At 32.8% G+C, this 12,488-nt stretch overlaps 1 protein-coding gene across 13 annotated transcripts in view; it reads right to left on the reverse strand.

The window, feature by feature from the left end:
* The window catches only part of TBC1D32 (TBC1 domain family member 32), a 255,236-nt gene continuing 242,988 nt past the window's right edge, over positions 241-12,488 (reverse strand). For all 13 annotated transcript variants that reach the window (NR_104452.2, XM_047418311.1, NM_001367759.1 and 10 more), the window contains 2 exons: positions 11,600-11,788; positions 241-1,637 (listed from right to left, as the gene is read on the reverse strand). Coding sequence is in view for 12 of the 13 variants with exons in the window: in XM_047418311.1 (XP_047274267.1) it covers positions 1,518-1,637; positions 11,600-11,788 (309 nt within the window). In the remaining variant the exon portion in view is untranslated. The remainder of the gene's footprint in view (positions 1,638-11,599; positions 11,789-12,488) is intronic.

Raw genomic sequence — 12,488 nt, forward strand, 5'->3', positions numbered from 1 at the left:
TGTCAAATTAACTTGCTAAAATTACTTTTCTCAACTTTACAATGCCCTTTAGGAACACTATTACTGAGAAGCTATTGTTGGCATTTACAGCATAAAACTTGATTTTGGAAGGCTGATATTGCAATAGCCTAAATATTACTAAATTGAAAACTGTATAGTACCAGTTATTTGATCATGCTACATGAAAAACTTAGTTTGTCAATGATCCACTTTTAGTTGAAAACGAAAAAAAAAGCAGGGTTAGAGTTAGAATGATTTTAATGGTTGATTTATATTTAGATACAAGGAAAGAATAAAAAACAGTATCTACAATTAGAAAAACTTATTGAAATAAACTCATGACTAAAAATGAATAATGTAATATATTCGTGTATTATCTTTCATATACTCATTGTGAGTTAAGATATAAAAAATAGACATTCACATATTGTATTAATCTTACCGGTGCAGAGACATCTATTTAAATAAGACAAATCATAGTGTTAGCCATTTAAAATAATTTAGAAATGTATTCTCCTTTATATTTTCAAGTTCAGTACAAGTAAAATATATCACTAAGGAAAATGCATAACAAATAAGAGTAGAATGCTTATCAGTATGAAATAACCAATCTATCTCTTCAATGAACCATGTAAAGACTTCATTTCAAACAAAGAATTATAAATTGATATGGGTATCAAAAGCAACTCCTAAAAAACAATTATGTCCAAGGACAACAGTTTTCCTACCACTTGCCATGGTAAATAGTATCATTGTTCTTCCACATGTAAAAGAAGCAGCTGTAGTTTTATCCATTTTCCTTTACATGTACAGACATAAAGAATGGAAGAAATACTGTCTTTTCCTTGTCTTATGGGCTTTCTGCAGCTAGTCAAAATATTATTTACACTATTACTTCTCCTTTCCAAATTCACTGGAAACAATATTTAAATCATCTGAATAAAGGAGATGTAAGTTGGGACTTTTTTTTTTTTTTTTTTTTTGAGACAGAGTCTCACTCTGTGGCCTGGCTGGAGTACAGTGGCACAATCTTGGCTCACTGCAACCTCCGCCTCCCGGGTTCAAGCGATTCTCCTGCCTCAGCCTCCCAAGTAGCAGGGACTACAGGCGCATCACTGCACCCAGCTAATTTCAGTATTGTTAGCAGAGACGAGGTTTCACCATTTTGGCCAGGATGGTCTCGATCTCTTGACCTCGTGATCCGCCCACCTCAGACTCCCAAAGTGCTGGGATTACAGGCATGAGCCACCGCGCCTGGCCAGGACTAACTCTTAAACATGAATAAGAACTAAAAGTAAGCTAGATCTGATTCTATAATAACCTTACAAAACAACAAATTTACAAAAATGAATTCACAAATTGAGCTCATACCTACTTAAATATATCGTTATACTTCTCAGTATTTACAATATGTATATTCACAAAGTAAATGTTGTTACAGACACAGAAAAACATCAAGCCCCCCTGCTGTGTTTAAAAATAAATAAAACCTAAATTTAAACCGTGTGTCTCATGATCTATGTGCTCTGCAGTCTAATGTTCCGCATGTCTCTCAGCAGCACTGTTCGGTAGTTTTGTTCCAAAATTTCCATGTATTCAAAATAATCACTCACTCGAAACCCATGCAGTGCTTCTTCCTGCCAAAAATTACAAAGGGAAAATTATTTACTTGAGTAAGACACACAATTCCAAGTTAATGAATTTTAAATAATTGATATACCATTTATTTTCAGCTATAGATGGGGTGGGCTGTTTATGTTGCCAGTAAATGTGTCATTGCTTTTTATTTAGTGAGCTGTGCATATATGTGACAGGAAGAAACTATATGTCCCCCTTAAATAAAGTTTTCTATTTTCAAAACCAAAAATGATTTACAGCTACCAAAAAAACAAAAGCAGATAAGGAAATCTTTCTAATTTTAAATATAGTATCATGTTATACAATGATTGTTCAAATTTGTAATTAGTAAAGACCCTAAAACTTATCTACCAAAGGATACTATAATAGTGCAAGAAATATCTGTTGTATAAGCTACTGTCCATAAAACCTCCAAGAATCTGCAATTACTAATGTTGGTACTATGCACATCTATACTAATTTGGAATTTAATGGTTAGTGTTCCAAACGAGACACTCAAGAATAAACAGTAAGAACACCCGTTTAACAGTTTAGAGTCTTTTAGGGAATTTTATGACCATTCCTTTTAGTACCTCCAAATACAATCTACGCAGTACCTACACTCAAGGCAAAACAAAATATGCGAAGAAAAGTCATCTTTGATTCAGTGTAATTAATATTTATAATGTTAGGAGTTGCAGAGGTTACAAAAACTTTGGAAAATTCATGCCTTTCAGGAGTTTATAGTTTAAAGGCAAGAATTACTATAAGAAGAAGAAAAAAAAGCAACCCAAAAGAATAAAAGACAATGCATATCATATACTAGATACTGTGTTAGAGGCAGTTTATACAGAAGAAACCTCAATATAGAAATAGCTAGGAAAACATTACACAATCTCGATGAGAACAGATGTTTTTAAAGGCTTCAGATATCACTTATCACTTATGGTTAGTAACCATTCACAGCTTGCATATAACTTGGGGTAACTTTATTCTTATTTTGCCATCATTACCAAAAATCTACATAGTTTGAGGGAAAGGTTAGTTGGGACATTCTAAAAAATTAACGACTGATCTACAAGGCTGATATTACAGCTGAAGAAATGAAATGGTGTTGTTATATACTTAATACCATTAAGGCTAGAACAAATACCTTCCAATGTAAGTATCTGAGCTCTAATCTCAAGATAATTGTGAAATTATTTCAATCCTTCTTTCACTTCTTCACTCATTCATTCTCTTATTATACGTAAGGTTCTTGATTAGCACTGAAGACACGAAGATGAGTGAGAAGAGCCCTGCCCTAAAATGTTGACAACTGAGGTGTATATCATGTCTCTGATTTTATGTATAAGTAACTGAGTCAAAGGGAATATTTTTATCCTATGAATAGCAGAAATACTTGGTCTTTGTAAATTCCTGTCCCATTAAAAATATTTCACTTTTTTCTTTGGGGAAAAAATAGGATCAGAGTAAGAACAATCCTACTGTTCAAGAACTCATTTTAAACAGTTATTGTTATAGTCGTGGAACAATTATGAATTTATCCATTCATTTCATTCAAATTATGTGTGACGTGGCTTTAACTACCTCTTCACTAAAACTATACCTAAGATGGGGAGGGATTATGGTAATGTCTTATTCTAACCAGAGACTAAAGATCCAATGGCAGAAGAACTGTTTCAGGACATATTATTTTCAAAGGAATACTTATTGTTCATTAAATACGAATTATAATAGGAGATGACAGCACTTGAACAAAGCTCTAATAATTCATTTCTGGGCAAAAAATAAGCAATATCTATTTAACATCTTTTAATTATTGTTTCACTTTAATAAAAACCACCTAGGGACAGCCACAGTTATAACTCAATTTAAATATATTTTTTCCTCAGAATGTATTTTTTGAAATCATGGTTTCCATTTTAAACATTAATTGTAAATGCCCTGATAACTACACCAAAGAGATACCCATAAAAATGACACATAAGGCTATTAACGTCTTATTTCATAAGAGAAAAATTTTAATACACATTTAAAAAGGAGTGTTTTCAAATGATATAGTTCATTATTGAAAATCTGTAGGCAATTTTAGCTCTGAATAAAATTCCAAAATATCTACATTTTACATTTTGTCTTCAAAGTAGAACATTTTTTCATCTTATCCTAAATGTTCTCTAATGGCCTTTTTAGTGGATAACTTTTACTTGTAATTATGACTATTTAGACTGCCAGCTTATCGTTCAAGTTGTAACAGACTAATTCCTCAGACTAGTGCTTCATTATAATTTCATCTATAGACCAAAGTATATCAAACTCTATATAAAATATAAATGCCTTGATTATTTAAGTAGCAGATGCATTAATTACATAAGGTAATAACACTATTCCACTTTATATTAACCGTATAGTATTTGCTCAAGAAATTTTTTTAATAGATTACTACTAGAATGATTTAAGTTTTAGTTAGGAAGTTCATTTTGAGCTTATTGCATTTCGTTTGTTGTATCTAATGCTAATCAACTGGTATGTTTTTAATAATTTGCTGCCTTCATTAATTCTGAGTTTCAAATGTTGAATCATCCAAAAGTATTAAAAATTCCCATTCTAAACCACAATGTTGGATGTATTCAATATTATATAATATGGTATATACGTAGTTTCCCTCTTTGCTTTGTGTACAGAAGTCCAGTTTCAAATTTCAAATATGCATTCATCTGTTTTCTTTTAACTATTGAGAGCATTTGATTTGGGACCACTGAATCTAGGACATTGATTAAAATATCAGACTAGTCAATGAAAAACAACTTGATATAGTAAAAGGAACACGGGATTTGGATTCAGACCAAATGAAAGGGTTTGAATTCTCCTATGTTAGTTACTAGATGTATGAACTTGGGTAAGTTTATTGACTCTAAGCCTCAATTTTTCATGTGTTAAATGTAGACAATAATATCATATGATTGCTCTCTGGATTAAATATTCTGAAATCTGAACTTCTTACCATAGATTAGGGTATCTTATATGATTTGGTCCCTGTCTCATCTCTTACCTTTCTCATTCCTTCACCTTGTTCTGGTCACAGTGGTCTTCTTGACACTCTCTAAGTGAGCCAGCTCATTCCGACCTCTGAGATCTTGCACTTGCCTTCATTCCTATTTAAGGAGGCTTTTGCCTAGGAATTCTTTGTATGACTTTTTCTTTTGCTTCATTCAGGTAGCTGTTTACCCCATCAAGGGTGGTCTTGCCTGGCCTCTTTATCTAACTGGCACCTTAGACTCCTCCATGTTTGATTTCCTTATTAGAAATAGAATAAGGTCTACAATACTTAAGATATTATGTATTTGTTCATTTATTTGCCTTCCAGGAGAATTTAAGGTCAATGTGGGCAGAGTAGTTGGTTCACGGTTGTTCCACAATAAATAGGTTAATAAGTCCATGAGTGAATGAGCAATACCTGTAAAGCTCTTTGCCCAGTGTGTGGCATACAATAAGCACTCAAGATATTCATAGTGGTCATAAATAATGAGAACACATTTTTATTAATGATGGTCTTTGAAATGGCTTGCCTACATTTTCTTGATCACACTACAGACATATGATGTTAGGCATGGGTTGGCCTATCATGGATTACTGACTCCAGTCTCTGCTCCTCAACCCCTTGCCAGGAATATAAGGGAGCCATTTATCTAAAATATTAGGATGTTACTGGCTTTTCTTGCAACTTCAAAAATGTGTCTATTTTGAAAAGAAAGCTATACCAATACCTTGAAAAGTTATTTGTATCAGTTGATGTTTGCAAAAATACTGAAGATACTAATTTTTAGCAGAAATTTGTTTAGAACTCCTGCAAGCCATGTGAGCTTAAAATCTGAATTGAAGATAAGGCCTTTTGCAGTAGTAAACAGATAAAAAGCACAAAAAGATCAAGTGTGCTAACATGGTATACCCTGGTTTATGAATTCAGGACCAAGTTTAGATATTCTCTGATATATTCTTTCCCAAATATTTAATTATTAATGCCCTTGCAAAATGATGATTTTTAAAATATAATATAGCTCTTTATAAATTACAGAGAAAAAAGGGTAAGGTAAGTTACTTTGAGTGGGTTAAACTGGAAGAGTTGACTTTTATTAATAACACTATGAGACATATAGAATAAAAAATTACCACAAAAGGTACAGAACTTAACATATACTTAACAAAAGTTAAAGACTTGCATTAATGTCAAATCTCATATAGAAAGCTCTTGAGAGAAGGAGGATTTATGAATATAGTTCTGCTCTTTACCCTTACTAGAGATAATCTTTTTGTGTGTTGTGTCTTACATATATATACACATATATATACACATATATATATACACATATACATACGTATATATATACACATATATACATATATACGTATATATATACATATATACATACATATATATACATATATACACATATATATATACATACATATATATACATACATATATATACATATATATATGTGTATATATATATATATATTCTTCTTGATCAAAGTGATAGAAACATAACAACCGGTAAGCAATGTTTCTTCCACTATGTTCCTTCTGGGGTGTTCAGTAAAACTAGAAACTCCTGGATGCAGTCCCTTAAATTTTCGAATCCTTGGCATTGGCATTGGCATTCTGGATTCTGATTTACCAACCAACTCCAAAGGTCACAGTTTTATGTATTTTAAAGGTTTTCAAGCTACTTAAGATTTTCTACTACAATCTGACAACTCATGCTTCTGCCAAATAAATTCTGATTTAACAGGTCTGGGAAGGAATCTAAATACATTAATTTTCATAAGTACCCTAAGTGATTCTTAGGACCAGAGAGTTTATATAGTGTTTGTAATTCTGGATAGAATGTGAAGTTCTTACAGATTCAGGACATAGTATGTGGTTCTTGAAGATTTAAACTCAGCTGAAGGGTACTTGGAAATATGTGATTGTACCAGAGACTTGACTTAGTCTTGGCTAGGTTAATGAGGGAATAGGTCCTGATCAGAAACAGTATAAGAGGGTATTTCTGACCAAGGTGTGAAGGTAATGTCATTGACAGGTATTACTATTACATGATATCTTAAGAAGTCTCAGGAGCTGGAGAAAAATGGGAGCAAAAGTACACCAAAGTGTAGGTATGCACTCAGAAAATTCTGTTTCCTTTGCTTGTATTCTCTACATATCTTCTTCTGTTAACAAAGAAATAAGAAGAATCTAGTAGAGGGATGTAGCAACTTAATAACCGCTAAGTTTTTTTAAGTACTTACTATGTTCCAGATAATGGTCTAAAAGTATTTTACAAATATCATCTCATTTAATTCTTCAACAACCCTATGTGATGAAGAAACAAGCATAAAAGTCTAAGCAATGTACTCGAGCTCACACAGTGAGTGGCAAAGTTAGAATTTGAAACCAGATAGAATCAAGTAATATAAGGACAATGCAGAAAACGTATCTGCAAAACACAGCTGACAGTGTACTGAATACCTTTAAAATATTTGCTCAGATGGTGAACTGTTTTAAATATTATGTATACTTTTATCTTATAAAAGCTTAGTATTCAATCAGATTTTCTCAGTCCGATCTTCATTTCTCACCCTGTCAACATTCTCTGGTAATAGCAGCTGCAATAGCACCAACAAAAAATCCCTCTTGACAATTTACTGATTGAGTTGAAATTAATCTGATTTTTTCATAATTATAAATTGATTTTGTTACAATATGCAAGATTTAGTTGATGCATTTTAATTAAGTATTTTAAGGCTTCACAACCTGATTTTCACAGAAAGGCAATCTTTTTCTAGGCTGGTATGTCAGTGAAGTTTGTCCCCAGGTTGAATTCACAAACTAAAGCCAAGATTGCTGACAGCCTATTAGCATGTTAGAGAAGAATACAACACAGCTCACTAAAACACTAGGACATCCACATATGAACTACTATTAAACTGTCACTAAACCTGTTTGTGTGTGTGTATGCGCGCTACAGATGAGTTGAAAGAATATCCCAGTTGCTGGGATATTACAGAATATTTACTTTGTTGGATGTTTTTCCCCTTGGAAATATCTACAGACTTTCTGAACCATCATCTGTCACAGATAAAAATGTTTAGAATTCCGGGCCCAAGGACTGAGCTCTTTCTTCAGCATATCTTCAGAGGCTGCCTTCTAGCTCGGTACTAATCCATTAATCACCACAGCATGAAAATGATGCAGTTAACTGCTCTAATATCCAGCCCACATTCTTGTTGTGTCTAAAAGGATACTGTGAAACAATCAGACAATGTTTTGTTGATATCAACTTATACCCAAGGCGTTCATCTAATCTTTCAGTGGTCTAATCTGAAGAGGAAAAATAAGTTTTTCTTTCCCCCATAAACCAGTTCTGCCTATTAGTGTTCACACCACCTTCTGATCCAAGAAATTCCAACTTATCTTTTTAATATATTGATTTGGAATCATGAAGAGCTCTTTAGTGACCTATTAGAAATGTAGGCAATAAGTCTATATCCTCAATTACCTCATTTAAAATCTTGAGCCTAAACCAAAGTGACTACAAATGGACTGATATTTTCTTGATACTGAATATTGCACACAGATTTTTATTTCTAAAACAATGCTTTTATCATGTCATTTTATCTCAATACATGAAATTTAAATCAGGAAAAGAATTGTGTATCTTCACTTCCTCAATACAACTGATAATAACTGAAAGTATAACATATTTGTGGTTTTCAATATTTTGAAAATGAATTCTGTTAGGCCCGATTATTTGAACTCATTTATAACAGTCAGATGCTTGATCTATTTATTTTTATATACTTATTCAATTTCTTCTTAAAAATAGTTTTATGATAAAAGAAGTATGAGCTCATTCCTCAAATATAAAATAAAGCCCACATAAATATTTACAACAAAAAGTAGAAGTATCTTGTTTTACTTTATCTTCATTCTTCTTGGAAGCAATCATTATTAAATATGTAGAGCGAGGGGATAATGTGATTAAATAATCTATACAAGAATATTATTATGGCTGTGGTATGCAGTTACATGGGGAATTTTTTTTTTTTTTTTTTGAGACAGGGTCTTGTTCTGTAGCCCAGGCTGGAGTGCACTGGTACAATCATGGCCCACTGCGGCCTCGACCTCCTGGGCTCAATTGATCCTCCCACCTCAGCCTCCTCAGTAGCTGGGACTATAGGTGTGTGCCACCACACCTAGCTAATTTTTGTACTTTTTTTTGGTAGAGATGGGATTTTGCCATGTTGCCCAGGCTGGTCTCAAACCCCTGAGTTCAAGCTATCCTCTCGCCTTGACCTCCCAAGATATGGGGATTACACGTGTGAGCCACTGCACCTGGCCTATATAAAGAATTATTGATAAGTCTTTTTTCCCTCTGTACAAATCTGAGATTTTGAATAGGAAAGTGTAAAACATAATTTCCAAGGTTCAATCTCTATAGCTTCAGTTGAATGAGGAATTCTTAAATCATGTGAGTATTTTTGACAGGGGATGTTTCTAGGGTAGGCAAAATAAAATCAGTTCATTAATCAATACTTCATTATTGGTTATTATATGAATAAGTGAAAAATGCTGTACATATATACTTCACAGACAAGAGACTATTTCAGGGCCAAATGGAGTAGTTAAAGGGATATGTAAATACATATTTAAATAAACTATACCAGAGTTTATCTCACAAGAAAAATGAGTGCCCATTAAAAGAGAACAGTGAATTTTGACACCTACCCACTGAAAATAAAACAACAAAAAAAGTAAAGTTATGGTATCTATCAAAAAAACATTTGTCCTAATCTCTCAGATAAATGAAAACAACAAGGGTAAAAAGTAAGGTTAGTTCTAGGACACACGCTAAAATTAATTCCTTGCCTACATGTTCTTAGTTTGGATTTAAACCAACGCTATTCAAATTTTAGTAATTTAACAGAGGCTTAGGTCATAATCTCCTCTCCCCATTTAATCCTTTAGTTTTAAACTGACAGCATTATGCTGAAAACACAATGGAGAATGGTTTGGGAACATTTAAAGAGGTTAATATTTGCAAACTCTATTATAATTTTTCCCTCAAATAGTCAAAAGAGAGATGAAACTGTAAATCAACATTAATCAAATTTAAAGATGATGCTTTTGATAGGAAGAAAAATAAGTGGTAGGCACTTAATGAATTTAGTAATGTTTGTTATTTGATGTGAATAAAACAAAGTTTATTCATCTTTCCCATTTATTTATTTACATTATTTACTTACACAATCAACAAATATGTATTGAATACCTATTATCTACCAGGTATTGTTTGATATATTGTTGAAAATACATCAGTAAATGAAACAGACCAAGTCACAGTCCTTATAGAGCTTACACATTTTACCAGAGAAGACAGACAAAAACACATATAAAATAATTTCGGATGGTGATAAAAACTGTGAGAAAAACTAAAGTAGGATAAGATGTTAGAGAATTATGGGTTGGGGGATACAGACAGATAAGAGTACAGGAAAATTTCAGACTCTGAAATTCCTATAACTGACCACTATAGATGATGAAAACGTCCCTTACTGAAAATGAACCTACATTTTGTATTCAACATAATTTCAATTTGCTTAACACTTCCTGTATTCCAAATCACCTCTTAGAGAGCATTCTTTTATTTTTCTATCTTAGTTTTTCCTCTACATGTGCAATCATTTTTCTCAGCATACTTTTTCATTAAGACTGTTTCTAATCTAGTGATATATATCGAAAGTTTAAAACCTTTTGAATTCTGAATTGATGAAATAAAAATGATAATTTGGCAATCTTAAATGATCAATGGTATTTATTTAAAGAAAAATATCGTTAAATGGAAAATAACCCTGGCAGGTATTTAATGGTAAAAAATAAAATTAATTTACATAGAAACTGTTTGTTGACCTAGAGAAAGCCTAGCAAATGATGAATGTTGTTTTTAGTGTATACGTGTATATGTGTTCCTGTGGGATGGCAAAGGTAGTAGGGATAAGGAAACATTTTAAGTTCAAAGATTCTTTTTTTTTTTTTTTGGAGACGAGTCTCACTCTGTCCCCCAGGCTGGAGTGCAGTGGTGCGATCTCGGCTCATGCAAGCTCCGCCTCCTGGGTTCACGCCATTCTCCTGCCTCAGCCTCCTGAGTAGCTGGGACTACAGGCGCCCGCCAACACAGCCAGCTAATTTTTTGTATTTTTGGTAGAGACGGGGTTTCACCGTGTTAGCCAGGATGGTCTCGATCTCCTGACCTTGTGATCCGCCCGTCTCGGCCTCCCAAAGTGCTGGGATTACAGGCGTGAGCCACTGTGCCCAGCCAAGTTCAAAGATTCTTAACTGTAAACAAATAGCTAGATTTCCACCAAAAAATGAACACTGGGATGTATTTATATCTCATGTACTTTCTAAAGTCCCCAACTTCCAAAATGACATTATTGTAATTGAGAAAGTAACTATATCTTTTTTAAAAATAGCACCACATTTGGTGATAACTTTTTAAAATGAGTGCTATGATAAAATAATCTTTCATGAAAATCTTTTATAAAAATGGAAGTTTAGAAAAATATAAAAATATGAAAGCATAGGAAATTAATATATTAAATATATTTAAAAAGTATCAAACCAATAAATTAAACTTTTATTGACCAAATAGCCCATAGGAATATTTTTACAATATTTCTTTTTTGGCATAGCATGTGGGTTACAAAGTGTTGGATCCAGACAGCTTATTTCATATTCCAGTTCCACTTTAGCTATACGGTTTGGGGCAACTTAACTCTGTGCCTCAGTTTACTCATCTCTAAAATGGGGATGATAATAGTATCTACCTCTCACCATTGGTTTTTAGGATTAAATGAGTGCCTAGAAAAAGTATCTAATATTAAGCAACCAAAGTTAGCTATTAACTCAACATTTTCCTCTCCATATAAACATACTTACTTTTAGGAAAACTTGCAGATCTTGAGTCTGAGTGTGCTGTAGAATGTCTTGCTGTAAATGTTTGAATACAGCTATACAGATATACACTTGATAATCAGGACCAAGGAAAACACAAGTAGCAATATAATGGCAGATTTCTATCCAATCTAAGTAATTCCAAAAACACTGGGTTATCCATTGCAGGCAAATCTTTAAAAAAAAAAAGTAGTAAGTTCATTAAAAAATTTATAAAACCACATTTGACTTTTAAAAAACATTAACCAATAACTCATACAAAACCAGTGAAAAGCTTAGGGCTTAATCAAAATACAAAGACAGTCTTCATAGATGCCTAAAAAGGATGCTTCTCCTATTTGCTTCAGTTGTGAAAAAAACTTTCATGGCCTTGGAATTCAGGCCTTAAGGGTAACTGATAGTGGTCACACTCCTCATATACCTATTACTCAATGCCTTTTTTATTCTTATTGTGCTCCTCTTACCCAAAACACCAATCTGCTCTCTACAGATAACAAATGCTAAGAGACTATTTTAATTCAGAGATGGGAGTTTTTTTTTTCTATACTACCTACAACCACAGATGTATAATTATGCAGATGACAGATTGCTAAATGTTACATTAATGCAAATGGACTCTTCCTGAATCAGAAAACAATTTAAACCTAACGGAATTACATAACATAAAATCTGGGAGCTAATGCAGAGAATATTTTAAAAATGAGACTTTTACAAAAGGAATTTTTTTTCCTGTTTATTTTTTGAATAACATTTGTTCAGATTATAAAAGCAATGCGTGCCCACTGTGGAAAACAGGAAAGTTTCAGAAAAAACAATAGCAATGACACAGAGATTATAAATACTGGAAACATTTTGATACATCAATGTTATGGGT

This window comes from Homo sapiens, chromosome 6, assembly GCF_000001405.40.
Source record: "Homo sapiens chromosome 6, GRCh38.p14 Primary Assembly".
Classification (NCBI taxonomy): Eukaryota; Metazoa; Chordata; class Mammalia; order Primates; family Hominidae; genus Homo; species Homo sapiens.